The sequence below is a fragment of the Homo sapiens genome, chromosome 16 (genome assembly GCF_000001405.40).
Source record: "Homo sapiens chromosome 16, GRCh38.p14 Primary Assembly".
Lineage (NCBI taxonomy): Eukaryota > Metazoa > Chordata > Mammalia > Primates > Hominidae > Homo > Homo sapiens.
The window spans coordinates 17,771,490-17,785,693 of NC_000016.10; the positions used below are offsets into that span (position 1 = coordinate 17,771,490).

Below are 14,204 nucleotides of genomic sequence, written 5' to 3' on the forward strand. Positions count from 1 at the left end.
AGGCCTTTTTCCTGCAACATGAATTCTCCAAAGAGCTTATCTTGCCCCCAAGGGGGTGAAAATTGGCTCTTTTGGGGACAGGGTGAAAAACAATCTTATTCTTTTTATGTATAAAGCACAGATATACATACAGCGCATTAACAGATACACCCAGTGTATCTCTGGTTTTAAAAATTTCATGGGGAGGCCAGGCACAGTGGCTCATGCCTCTAATCCTAGCACTTTGGGAGGCTGAGGTGGGTGGATTGCCCGAGCTCAGGAGTTTGAGACCAGCCTGGGCAACACGATGAAACCCCGTCTCTACTAAAACACATACACACACACACACACACACACACACACACACACACACAAATTAACCGGGCATGGTGGCACATGCCTGTAGTCCCAGCAACTAGGGAGGCTGAGGCATGAGAATTGCTTGAGTCTGGGAGGCAGAGGTTGCAGTGAGCCAGGATTGGGCCATTGTACTCCAGCCTGGGTAGCAAAGTGAGACTCTCTCAAAAAAAAAAACTTTTTTTTCTCATTGGGGGATGATTAGGAATAAATGTTTAAATTGACTCTGGGAGAAGGGAAACAATAATAATGATTTGAAGAAATTAAGAAAGACAATTCTAAAACCATAGGTATCTAAAGCTAAAAGGAAGCACCTCCTTTATCTAAGACCTTCCAACGGGCACCTCAAGGACCCGGATGCTCCAAACTTCCTGAAGTTCACACAGGGATTTGGTGAGAGAGCCTGGCATAGACCAGGATTTTTTCTGTCCTAGACCAATGCACATTCCACGTGTTTCATGCAAAACTTCATGTATCTGTGAGCAGGGTCCAAGTCTGTGCATCTCATTAACCCACATCCCCACAAAGGTGACGCTTTGGAAAGGAAGTAAATTATCTACGTGGTCAAATTACACACCTTTGTAATCCTTCAGAAGAGATATGTTGTCTTGCTCTCTGAATGGTGAGACAAGGAACAGTCAGAGCAGAGAGAGAATACCTAGAGAGCTGCAACATCGGGGCAAAAATGTATCAGGAATCAGAAGCAACGCAGAGCTCAGAGAAGTGGGAGAGAATTAGTGCAGCGTAGGAAATTAGCCTTCTTCCTGACTCCTCATACACTCTTCATGTCTAAAGTTGACTTCTTCTATTGCTGCTTTTTTTTTTTTTTTTTTTTTTTTTTGAGACGGAGTCTCGTTCTGTCGCCCGGGCTGGAGTGCAGTGGCGCAATCTTGGCTCACTGCAAGCTCCGCCTCCTGGGTTCACGCCATTCTCCTGCCTCAGCCTCCCTAGTAGCTGGGACTACAGGCGCCCGCCACTGCGCCCTGCTAATTTTTTTTATTTTTATTTTATAGTAGAGACGGGGTTTCACCGTGTTAGCCAGGATGGTCTTGATCTCCTGACCTCATGATCCGCCGCCTCGGCCTCCCAAAGTGCTGGGATTACAGGCCTGAGCCACCGCCTGTAATTTGCTGCTTAAAATCCATCCAGAAGCTGAGGGGGTAGGGGGTGAAAACATGGAAAAAGATAAATGAAAATCTAGTGAATGATAATGAAGGTTTTATTTATCATCCAATAAATCATTGTCATTAGACTCACCTATGTGAGTCTAGTTTTACAATTCTCTGACTGTTCCCTGTCTCACCACTCAGAGAGCAAGATAACATATCTCTTCTGAAGGATCCCAAAAGTGTGTAATTTGACCACATTGATCATTTACTTCCTTTCCAAAGTGTCACCTCTGTGGGGGATGTAGGTTAATGAGATGCGGAGACTTGGACTCTGCTCACAGGTACATGAATTTTTGCGTGAAACACATGGAATGTGCATGGGTTTAGGGTTGAAAAAATCCTGGTCAATGCCAGGCTCTCTCACCAAATCCCTGTGTGAACTTTAGGCAGTTTGAGCCTCTGGGTCCTTGAGGTGCCATGGAAAGATCTTAGGTAAAGGAGGTGCTTATTTTTCACTTTAGATACCTATGGTTTTAGAACTATCTTTCTTAAAGACAAGCTCACCTATGTGAGTTAGCTTTACCATTCTCCCCAGCGTCTGTTTCATTCATGCATTTATTTGTTCAAGCATTTATTGAGCACCTGCTATGTGCCAGGCATTGTCCTCCACGCTAACATTGGTGGCAGGAAAGCACTAAGATACAGTAATAAAAATCAGATTTGGTCCTAACTCCAGGCAAATTTTAAATTTCACAGTGGAGCTAAGTAAAATAGGTAGACAAGCCTACATTTTAATTAAATTACCTTCCGTTCCATGGCTGGCACGTGACGAGCATATTTTCTGACTGTGCAGGGGGAAATGGGCTGTGTCATATGTGCGAGTTCCACTCTCCTCTGGCAGGCTTCTTAATCCATGTTTGAGGGCAGTCAGGATTAAATGAAATTATGGGAACAAAAAACGAAAAATGCAAAAAAAAAAAAGTTTTAATTGGCTTACTCTGATCTTCCTGCTGTGATTGTATCAACGAGTTGGCAGCTTGTCAGTTGCAGTTGCCAGGCAACTCTGAGCGGTAAGGCGAACGTGTCAGCCTGTGTTTCCCATCTTGTTTGAGTCTCCCAGTGTCTGGGACTGACGTCTGGTTCTACCTGACCCTCCACAGGGGTCTGGGATGCTCCACGCAGCCCCATGAATAAGCCTCTGACCTGCTGCTCAAAGCTGCCTCATGGGGAAGTAATTGATAAAACTTCAGCCCTTATTCAACAACTTAGCTCTCTAACTGTGACCTTGCTGGAATGGCCCCAGGGACCCTGTCTGAGTCTTCCCAGCCCCTCAGGTACATCAGCAGAACAGGTGTGAAGGCAGAGACAGGAGAAACAGAATGCCTGCATCCTCCTCCCCTGGTGAGCTACACATACTTGGAAGCCCCATTCTGATGTCGTCTTTCCTATTCACACTCATCGAGCCCACAGAGAATGGGCTTTGCAGTCAGACCTAGCTGGGTCCATCTGTTACATACAAGCCATGCAACTTTAAAGCATATTCTTAGCCCCGCTGTGCCTCTGTTTTCTCATCTCTAAAGTGGAGCTGAGGTGGAAAGGTCCTTGAGCCTAGGCGTTTGAGACCAGCCTGGGCAACACAGCAAGATCCTGTCTCTACAAAAAAATAAAATAAAACAAAAATTAGCTGGGTATAGTGGTGTGCACCTGTAATCCCAGATACTGGGGAGGCTAAGGCAGGAGGATCACCTGAGCCCAGGATTTCAAGACTGAGGTGAGCTATGATCACCCTCTTCACTCCAGCCTTGGCAACAGAGTGAGATCTCATCTCAAAACAAAACAAAACAAAACAAATGAAAAAAAATAAATAAAGTGGAGCTAACACTACTTCTATCCCAGGGTGTTGATGAAGTTTTACTGAATAAAAACAAATGTAAAATGCTTAGTTCAATGCTAGCATATAGTTAATGCTCCACATTTTAGCAACTGTTATCCAGGCATCCATGAAGAACTTTGAGGCATTTGTAGAATCCCGGAGCTGAAAAGGAAGTTAGCTAGTGATTGCTGAGTCTCCTCATACCTTAAGTCAGGAATCTGAGACCCAGAGAATCAAGAGTGTTGTACCCAAAGCCATGTCATGGGGATTGAAACTCAGGGCTCAGTTGCCACCACAAAACTTTGCCAGGATTGGGTACAAAAAAGAATCCTCCTGTATTAAACATATCTTGCAGGCAATGGGTAATAGTATTTGTGTTGAGTAATCAGAGAGGCATTCAACGGACACAGCTACCCAGAAGACAGCCTGTTTGGTCTGAGAAAGTATCATGTGCTTCAGACAGGGCCGTGTCTCACAGAAGATGTCTGGTTATTTCCCTGCTGGCTGAGAGAAGATGATCCACCCACTTTACCATGGCATCCAAGATGTTTCTTGACCTGGCTATGGCTCCCACTGCCGTCCAATTCCCCTCCTCCCCATTCATCTTCCTGTTGATCCTCAGACGTGCCAGGGAGGGTCCTGCCTCAGGGCCTTTGCATGAGCTGTTCCCCTTGTTTCGAACACAGATATCCATACGGCTCCCTCCTTCACGTGCTTCAAGTTGTTGCTCAAAGATCATGCCCTCATGGAGGCCTTTCATGAGTTTCTTATTTAATACTGCCACCCTCTCAAGCACTTTCTCTCCTCTTTCCCTGATTTTCCTTAAAGGACTTGTCACCACCTGCCTCACTGCCTATGTGTTTGCTTGTCGGTCATGCCTGATTGTAGAGGCAGGCCCCACCTTTACACTCTAAGCTCCATGAGGGCACAGATTTTTTGCATTTGGTTCATTGCCGTATTCCCAGTGCCTAGAACTGCACCTGGCACACATTAGGTGCTCAATAAACATTTCTGGAATACATAGAAACCTCTCTCTGTGAGGTTTCCTCTGCCCTGCACCTGCCCCATGTTCATTGTCCTTACCCCTACTCACCCTTCATGAGGCAGCAACAAGCGTACCCTCCTTTGAGAAGACGTCTGTCCTCACCTCCTCCAACTGGAATGGAGACCTTGCCATGTGCCTCCATAGAATCCTGCACCTCCTTCCAGAAGGGCAGCCATCAAATTGTTGCAATAACTAATTTGCCTGGTATCCCACCAGAAGCTTGGCCTGTTCTACAATTAGAGGGGCAGTGAAAGAAAAAGAAGTCTTCCTCTGATTAACTTCTCTGGCTGGTTGTCAGAGACCAAGCTTCCTGCCTCCCATTCCCTGCCCCAATCCCAAAGCATTTCCCTCTAGACTGAGCCACTTCAGGGCAGGGCTTCATGTCATCCATCTTTATATTCCCAGCATACAGTGCAGCTCCTGACATGGCATAAGGGCACAGCGCTGTTGCTCAAATAACAATAGTCAGGGCTCACCTTGAGCCATGAAATTGGCCTATAAGGGCTTTCCAACCTTGGCACTTGAGACGTTTGAAATGGGAATTCTTTGTTGTAGGGGGTTGTCCTGTGCCTTGGAAAATGTTTAGCAGCATCGACCTCAACCCATATGCCGAAAATACACACACCAATTTTGCAACCAAAACATCTGCAGACATTAGCAAATGTCCCTTGGGGGCCACACTTGTCTTCAGTTTACTGTGAATTAATTCATTAAATCCTCACAGCAATGCTATAAGGGGGTACTGTTATGAAATCTAGATTACAAATAAGTGAGGCTCAGAGAGGTTAGGCAACTCACTGAACATCACACAGCTAGGAACTGGCTGAATCAGGATATGAACTGGGCAGTCTGACTCCAAAGTTTAGGCAATTAACCTAATGAATTAATGTCAGGAGTCGGGTGAGGAATGGGGATGGTGTGTTTATTACATGCAGGCACTATTTTTAGTTTTTAAATGGATTGCCTCATTTAATTGTGTCTAGCCTTTAACACAGTCATTGTTATTTCTAACATTGTACAGAGGAGGGAATTGAGGCACAGAAAGCACCTGCCAACTGGAGGCAGAGCGGCCAGAATTCAAGCCCACGCAGTATGACTCTAAAGCTTACGGTGGTGGGAGGTGGGGGGCTGTTTCCACTCTGCTCCAATTCTGCACAAAGTCATGCTGCCCTTTACTCAGCTTTCCCTGCCAGGACAGCCTGGCACAGTCCCTGTGTTCCCTCTGAAATAGCTTCACTGCTACTCACTCTCAGTGGGCCTGACTCCCGGGGCACCGAGCCCTGAGGGTCACGATGAGTGCTTTCAAGTTCCAAAGCGGTCTTATACACAAAGCCAACCGCACCGGGGGAAACTGCCAGAGGCTTCCCCAGGGTTGGGACTTCCAAAGTGGGGGCAGTCTTTGTCTTCAACCAAACCAGGCTTCACAGAAAAGCACGAGGAGAGCCCAGAGGGGAGATCTTAGGGGTGTTTTCAGAATATCATGAAAGTCTTCTCTGACAAAAAAAAAAAAGAGAGAACTATGAGCACCTTCCCCAATCCCCTCCCTTTCAGTAGTTACCGAAGCAGAGATGGTGTGTGTTTCAGAGGCATCTCCTGACATGATTGCCCTGATGTTTACAATAATGATCAGATCATTTTCCCACAGCCATTTCATCCAATGAGCCCAAATAGGATTACTGAGAAATTGCAAGGTCTTGCAGGAAATTTCTCTTCTGACCTTGGGCATTGTTAGGATGACTCACAGGAAGCAAGATCCCCTTTCATTGTTAGGGAGGACAATTCTGCAGCCTCTTCTCCAAACAGGGTGATCCCAAAGTGGTAAGGAAGAGACATTCTGAATGGCAATCATTTATCACCTGTGCACCCAGACACAACCACCCACTGTGCCCACATGATGGGGAGACATGGCGTGTGACTGTTTCTGTGAGTCTCCACTGTGAAGCAATGTCAGCTTCTCTTATGCAATACCCTCAGCTTCAGCGAGATGCAGAGAAAAAGGTTATACTAGAGCACAATCAGTTCTCCTTCAAAGACTTTTTTCTTTTTCTTTTTCTTTTTTTTTTTAATTTTTTAAGACGGAGTTTCGCTCTTGTTGCCCAGGCTGGAGTGCAATGGTGTGATCTCGGCTCACTGCAACCTTTGCCTCCTGGGTTCAAGCAATTCTCCTGCCTCAGCCTCCTGAGTAGCTGGGATTACAGGTGCACACCACCAAGCCTGGCTAATTTTTGTATTTTTAGTAGAGATGGGGTTTCACCATGTTGGCCAGGCTGGTCTCTAACTCCTTACCTCAAGTGATCTGCCCGCCTCAGCCTCCCAAAGTGCTGGGATTACAGGTGTGAGCCACCATGCTTGGTCTTAAGACTTTTCTTCTTAAAAACACAGCTTGATAAGTAGATGAGGATAGTGAAGACCATATGAGAAAAGAAGGATGAGGGCAGATTTGTACTGTCAGATACCGAAATGCACACTTTAGGTACAATAATTGTAATGATAAATATGTATGGGCAAGAATTGGCAAAAGGATCAATGAACTAACATATATAGCTCCAAAACAAATAGTACACATTCTTTCTTTCTATCCCTTCTTTCTTCTACACCTGCACGCACATACATGGGCACACACATGTACACAATAAGTTCAGCACTGTAAATCAATAGGAAGAGGAAGATTCATCCATCAGATCAATTAATGTACCCTTGGGAAAACATAAATCACTCTAGGTATTTCAAACAGTAGGGACTTTAATACAGGGAATTGATTACAAATGTGTAGAAAAATAAGAGGAGCAAAGTAGAGATTGCCCAGGGATTAACACCTGTAGGAAGCCAGTACATTCTCTAGAGCTGGATGATGAAAAGAGGTATTATCAAGAAGTCAAGAGTTTACAATACTGCTGATGCTGTCGCCAGAAGCAGAAAAACAGTTTCTACACTTTTCCCATTTGTGAATCTCATGTGATCGACCCCACTGGTCACCATCGACCCATACCCAGCCGCCAAGGAACTCTGGAAATATAGTTTTCAGGTTCCCCGCTGTGGTGTAGAGTGGAATAGACATAAGGACAGGCATAGGGCTGAGATTTGACAGACCATGTTTGGCAAAGAGGATTTATTTGATAATGCTACAGAAGGCAGTGAGCTGGTAACTGAGCAAAAACAAACATTTTCGCTTCTTGCTGTAAAGCAAAATCAATCCCAAGTTGTGCAAAGGGTTAAACATACACACCAATATTCAAAGACAGAAAGGAAAAGAACAGCAAAACAGAAAAATATGAGGAAAATGTTATGATTTAAGGGTGACCAATAACTTTCTAAATATTGAGGCAATGAAAAAGTTATGAAAGAAAAAATTATATATTAGAATAAAAATAATTTCTAATGGTAAGAGAGATGATTACGAATCAAGTAATCTGGAAGGCAGATTTACAATATATATTAAAATGAGCTTAAAACCCAATGTATTACCAAATAAAGATGAAACTGTAAACACCAGTAATTCTACTGGAGAAACATGTGCATACAATGGAATACTATGAAGCAGGGAACAGGATAAATTTTAGTATAAACATTAACATGCACGAATCTTAATAACAATTTTGGGTGAAGTAAATCACAGAAGAATACTTATAGCACTGTGCCATTTATGTAAGTTCACAAACATACAAGATAAACTTCGTTGCTTACAGATGCATGAATATGTATTAAAACTAAAAAATCAAGAAAACAATGACCACAAATGTCAGAACTGTAGCTACACCAGAAGGCGGGAGGAAAATAGTTAAGAGAGATATCCAGGAGATTTCTAAGGTACAGAAGTGCTCTATTTCCTTAGCTGAGTGGTACATAGATTAATATTTACTAATTATTATTTAAATTATACGTACACATATTTATTTTGATATGTGTCAAAATAAAACTGAAAAACAAAAAATACAGACATAAAGAAAAATTTAAACCATGAGGTAATTTGAATCAATAATCAACAATATTTTGGATCAAAGAACCGTAAATTTAAATAATGAGATGAAAATTGATTAATAATCAAATTAACAAAGATTCTAGATCTCATAATTCTCATTGTTAGCATGAGTGCGATGAAAAATCCTATTCTCTTGGTGGGGGTATAACTCGGTTAAACATTTTGGGAAAGCAATTTGGCAGTGCCTATCAGAAGAATTTTTAAATGTCCATGCCTTAGGGAAATGGCTTGAAATTCGAATAAAGTTTTTATGGCTAAAATCATGGTCATTTTAGTGTTTCTATAATAGTGAGAAATTTAGAAACATTATGGAAGTAAGTAAATCATGATAGATATAATGAAACATTACCCAGCATTTAATGATGATTACAAAGAGATTGTCATTATCACAGGGAAATGCTTATGTCACATTATTTAGTGAGAAGAGCAAACTGCAAAACTTTATACCCAATATGATCTCATCTATTAAAGAAAAACAAGCATACTGGAAGGGTATTTTCTTTCCACACAGTCATGTTACATTGCATTTCAGCTTTTAGCTTGGCATTATTCCAAGAACATTCTCTCATGGCGAGGAGATGGGAGGTTAGGTCATTTCCAACGACCATTCTTCATTTCTCTCCTGACTTACATAGTGATAGAGAAAGAGGAACTAACAGTTATTTCGTGTTGTCTTGGGCACCATGTTACTCCTACATATTATCCGTGTGAGATAGAAAATATCACTCCCATATGAACGTTGGAGAAACGGAGTGGGCTTAAGGCACCTGCTTAAGAGCACACAGCTAGTAAATGGCAAGGTGGTACGTCTGATTCCTAAACTGTTTCTGTAAACTCCCTTCCTTCCCATACGGTAGAACCCCTGAGGCAAGCCTCTGGGATATCACAGCCTTAATAACTTGGCTCAGAAATCAGTCTGCCTGGGCTGAGATACTGCCTCTACTTACTAGCTATGAGACTTCAGGTAAATTTTATTTAATTTCTCTGGGCCTCAGTTTCTGCATCAGTAGAATGAGAATAATAATGCCTTCCTTATAAGATAAGATGCATGTAAAATGCTTAGGAAAGTTCCAGGCACTCAGTAGAAGTTAGCCAACATTGCTGTCTCTAATAGGGTCTGAGTAAATAATGACTTGTTTGAGGTTATTTACACTCTCACTTGCCCAGAGTCTCCTGGGGAATACCATCAGCGATGTTCTGGTCCAAGACATAATTTCACAGATGGGGACACCGAAGACCAGAAAGGTGAAGTGAGTAAGCCAGTCCACCCAGTGGTAAGTGATCGGGGGTGGTCCTGACTATTACTGCATATTCTTTCCATCAATGTACAGCATTTCCCTGACTGTCACCCCCTGTGACCAGATGCCAGGAGGACCAGACCACAACCTTGAAAAACACAGCCATCTCTTCATGCACACACTATTATTTATGTATATATTATCATTTGCTTTCTCAACAACCCTGGGAGGTGAGCAAGGTGTTTCTCCTTGGTCCCATAAGGAACTGAGGCAGGAACCTCAGAGTTCTTTGCACAACATCATGGAACCTCCAAGAGTTTTGTGTCTTGGCTGCATTAGATGACCAAATTCAGATCTGTTTCTTATAGGCAGGAAAGAAGTTGGGCTGGTGAATTTTCCTGATTTCTCTCTCTCTCTCTCTCCCTCTCTTTTTTTTTTTTTTTTAACAGGGTCTCACTCTGTCATCCAGACTGGAGAGCAGTGGTGTAATCTTGGCTCACTGCAACCTCCGCCTCCTGGGTTCAAGCGATTCTCCTGCCTCGGCCTTCCGAGTAGCTGGGATTACAGGTGCCTGCCACCACACCCAGCTAATTTTTGTATTTTTAGTAGAGACGAGGTTTCACCATGTTGGCCAGGCTGGTCTCAAATTCCTGATCTCAAGTGATCTGCCCACCTCGGCCTCCCAAAGTGCTGGGATTACAGGCATGAGCCACTGCGCCCAGCCTGATTTCTCTCTTAAACCCCATGGTACTAGCTGTTATTCACCAACATCTGTTATTCATCAACATGGACAGGGAAGCAGCTTCCTCCAGCTCTTCACTTGTGGGGCTAGCCCATTAAGCTCTCCCCAGAGCTCAGGTGGCCAAATATGGGGACTGTGACAGAGGTTAGGCCAGTGGGACAGAAGTGATGCCATCCTTCTTCTTCCCAACATCACCCCTGCTGTCTACAGCCTTGAGGTTACAATTCCTGCCTTACTTATGCATGATGTTAGCCTGTGATGCTTTCTGATGCCTGACAGCAACCAAAACTCCCATGAGCTTGTGGTGGGGGTATAAATTGGGAAAAAATCCTTGCAATGTCTCCTAAGGCTAAGCGTACACCTCCCTATGATCTAGCAGTTCCACTCCTAGGCATATACTCAAGTGAAAGAAGTGTTTATGTTCATCCAAAGATATTGATGAATGTGTTTATGACTGCTTTATTAACACAGGCAAAATTGCAAGAAACCTAAATGTTCAACAATAGGAAAATGGATAAATAAATTAAGGCAATATTTATTCAATAGAATTTTGTGCAGCAGTAAAAAAAAGTGAAGTACAGCTTCATGCAACAGTGTGGATGAATCTTGCAAATATAATGATGAGAAAAATAAGGCAGAAACAAAAGAACACATACTGTAGAATTCCATTTATATAAAGTTCAAGAACAGGTAAAACCATTCTATTGTGCTAGAAGTTGAATAGTGTTTACTGTTGTGGGCAAGGCTCTACTGATTATTAAGGGAGGAAAACTTCTGGGGTGATAGAAGTGTTCTGTTTCTTGACCTTGAATGGAGGTTCTATGGATGTAACATGTGAAAATTCATTATGCTTTACATTTTAAAAATGTGCACTTTGCTCTATGTATATACAATCTTTAAAAAAACAAATCCTGCCAGCTGGATCACTAAGGATTCATTCACCAAGAACTCAGAATAATCCCTAAGCAAAAACCCCTAAGATAAGCTTATCTTTTAAGTCAATCAGTGGATTCTGTATATACCAAGTGAATTTTTCTTTCTCTAAGACCCAACCTAGCCTGGGATACATCTCTCTTCTCAGAGGTGTTGCTGTCATTGTACTCCCTGAGCTGCTGCTGTGTGTGTCTGTCTGCCCCTCAGACCACATGCCCCAAGAGCAGAGACTATGCACCATTCATTGCCTTTCCCCAGTATGTAGCACAGCGCCTGGCTTAGACATGCAGTAACTATTGATGGGGTGTATGAAGGAGTGAATGCACAAAAGAATGAATGAACATGGCACACACAAATATGATCTATGACCACAATCTAGAAAGCTCCTGCGGGGCTGTGAGCTGTGGAATCATTCTTTAGGCAGCATGATATGAGCCAGTGGTTCTCACCCTGGGGAAATTTTGTACCACAGGGGTCATTTGGCAATGTCCAGAGTTAATTTTGGTGACCACAACTGGGGATGGGAGGTGATGGTATTCTACCTGGAATAATGCTAAATAGCCTACAATGCACAGGAAAGCACACCTCTTACACACACACACACACACACACACACACACACACGAGTCATCCAGCTCAAAATGTCAGTAGTGCAAAGATTGAGAAAACCCTGATATAGAGGAACAGGAGCTAAACGCAGGAAGAAAGCCTTGAGTTCAAATGTTAATTGCCTACTTATTAGCTGTGTGACCCTGGGTAAGTTGCAAAACCTCTCAGATCTTTCTCCTTTGCACTAATAGGGCTGATCCCTACCTTAAAAGTAGATGAGAGGATTAAATGAGCTAAACTATGTGAAGTGCCTGGCTCAAAACAGGAGCCCAGTGAGACTTAGAGACCTTCTCCCAGGAGCCCAAGAGACTTTCTCTTCTCCACTCTGTTTCTGATCCCCCTTCCCCAGAGCCATAAATGGGCAATTTTTAGTAAGAAAAACAGCTGTCAAGCATTGCTGCTTCTTCCTCTGCTTAAGAAACTATTGAAGAGCAAGGCTGCCTGTGAAGAATGCATTTTATTTGCCAGGTACATCAATAGCCCCTGTTCCTAATGAAATGCGTTATTAATAGATAAAGTCAACATATTCAGAACTCAGGCCCACGTTGCATCCCAATGTAATCTGCCATTCTCCCTGCCTTGCAGGTGTCCTCTAAGCCTGCCTCTGAAAAACCGATTCTGATTTTCCCCACTTTCCCTCGCTTTTCTCTAAGCCCCAACAAACACAATGAGTTCCCAAGAGATACAGAGAAACGTCACACACAATACTAGCACTGTGTGCAGGTGGCAGAGACATCGTGAAGAAAGAACCCAGCCTTGTTCTTTGCAAATGGGAAGTAGAATTTCCCGCAGGGCTCAATCTAAGGCTTGCTACATTTGTTCCTTCCTCCCCTTTATGTATTTATGAGAGCGGCCGGCCCCTAGGCAATCCTAAGGTGGATGCTTATGGGTGCTGATTACGATGACGTTTTGCTGTCCTTGGTGCTGAAAAAGTCTTCAAGTGCTAAGGATTATGCTTTTCCATTACTCATATTGGCCAGGGACTATAAAATGGGCATTAATATACATGTTAACATTATTTAGCAAATGCTTAGTATAGAACATTTGGGAAACACACAGAATGAAAACAACAAAAATAATTAGTATTTACTGAGAGCATGCTACTTTTCAGGCATCATTATTGACTTCATCTTGTGAGCTATGTATTACATATTCCCTATTTTTCAGATGAGGAAAACTGAGGCAAGAACAGTCCCATTCACATGAACTTTCAGTGACAGCCACATCAACAACATAAGAACACCTGGGCTCCTACAAAGACCAATTGCACTACCGGCTCTGGCTCCAGTCTTTCTTCATCTTCTCCACAACTTGGTTTGTCTTGGCCCCCACAGGTACCTTTCCCTCTCCTGAACCATCATCTCCAGTCTTTCTACTATGCCATTTTCTCACTGGCACACAAATATGCCTCAGGATTTCTCATCTTACAGAGAAGACACAAGACTCTTGGCCATCACATCCAAACCTCGAATAACTTTCTCATTCATTTCCTCCTTTTCAAGGAGAAGTTCCTTGAATGAGTGGTTTTTAGTCCTTTTTTCTAGGTTTACACCTTCCATTTTATATTATTTCCTCAAATCACCACCACCCCCCGAAATGGACCAAGTCAAAATCAACAGTGATCATCCCATTAACAAATCCTATGGTTGCTTCTTTGAGCACTTGTTTTAGTTCCCAGCAAATCTGACATCAATAACTACTCCCTTCTTCTTAAACTACTTACTTTTTTTCTCTTTACCATTGTGTCACCACAAAATCCTAGTTTTCCTCCTAACTTCATGGCCCAGATTCTCAGTCCTTTTCCTGGACCTTTCTCTTCCACTCCCCTTAAAATACTTTGTCCCAGGGCTCAGTTTTGGGAAGCCTTCACTTTTCCAACTCTACTCCTCTTCCAGTGAGCAATCTCATCCATTCCCATGGCTTTAAAAACCATCCATATGTTGATGCTTGCTAAGTTTTTATCTCCAGGTTGAGGCAATTGTATATATCTCCAGGCAATCATTCAATTGTCTCTCCAGTCACTACTTGGATGTCTTATAATCTCAAACATCACAAAATTAAAAAGTACTTTTGACGTTCCCCCCAAAATCACCTCCTACCCTAGTCTTCCCCAACTCAGAAAATGCCACAACTTAGTTTCTCAAACCAAAATCCTAGGAATCATCTTTTATTTCCCCTCATGGTTCACAACCAATCCTCCAATCAAGTTCCACAGACTTAACCTACAAAATATACCCCAATGTCATCCACTTCTTTCCATCTCCCATGCCACTACCCTAGCATCTCCACCCTCTCTTCCCAGGATTTTTAGGAAGCCTCGTTTTTCCAATTTGAGCTTTG

The 14,204-nt window shown here is 42.9% G+C and overlaps 1 annotated feature.

Moving 5' to 3' along the window:
• Positions 5,152-5,652: an enhancer, noted in NCBI's record as "H3K27ac hESC enhancer chr16:17870498-17870998 (GRCh37/hg19 assembly coordinates)". NCBI's record gives its function as "activates a minimal SCP1, AML or CMV promoter by ChIP-STARR-seq in naive H9 embryonic stem cells {active_cell/tissue: H9 hESC(naive)}" and the evidence as "EXISTENCE:reporter gene assay evidence [ECO:0000049][PMID:30033119]".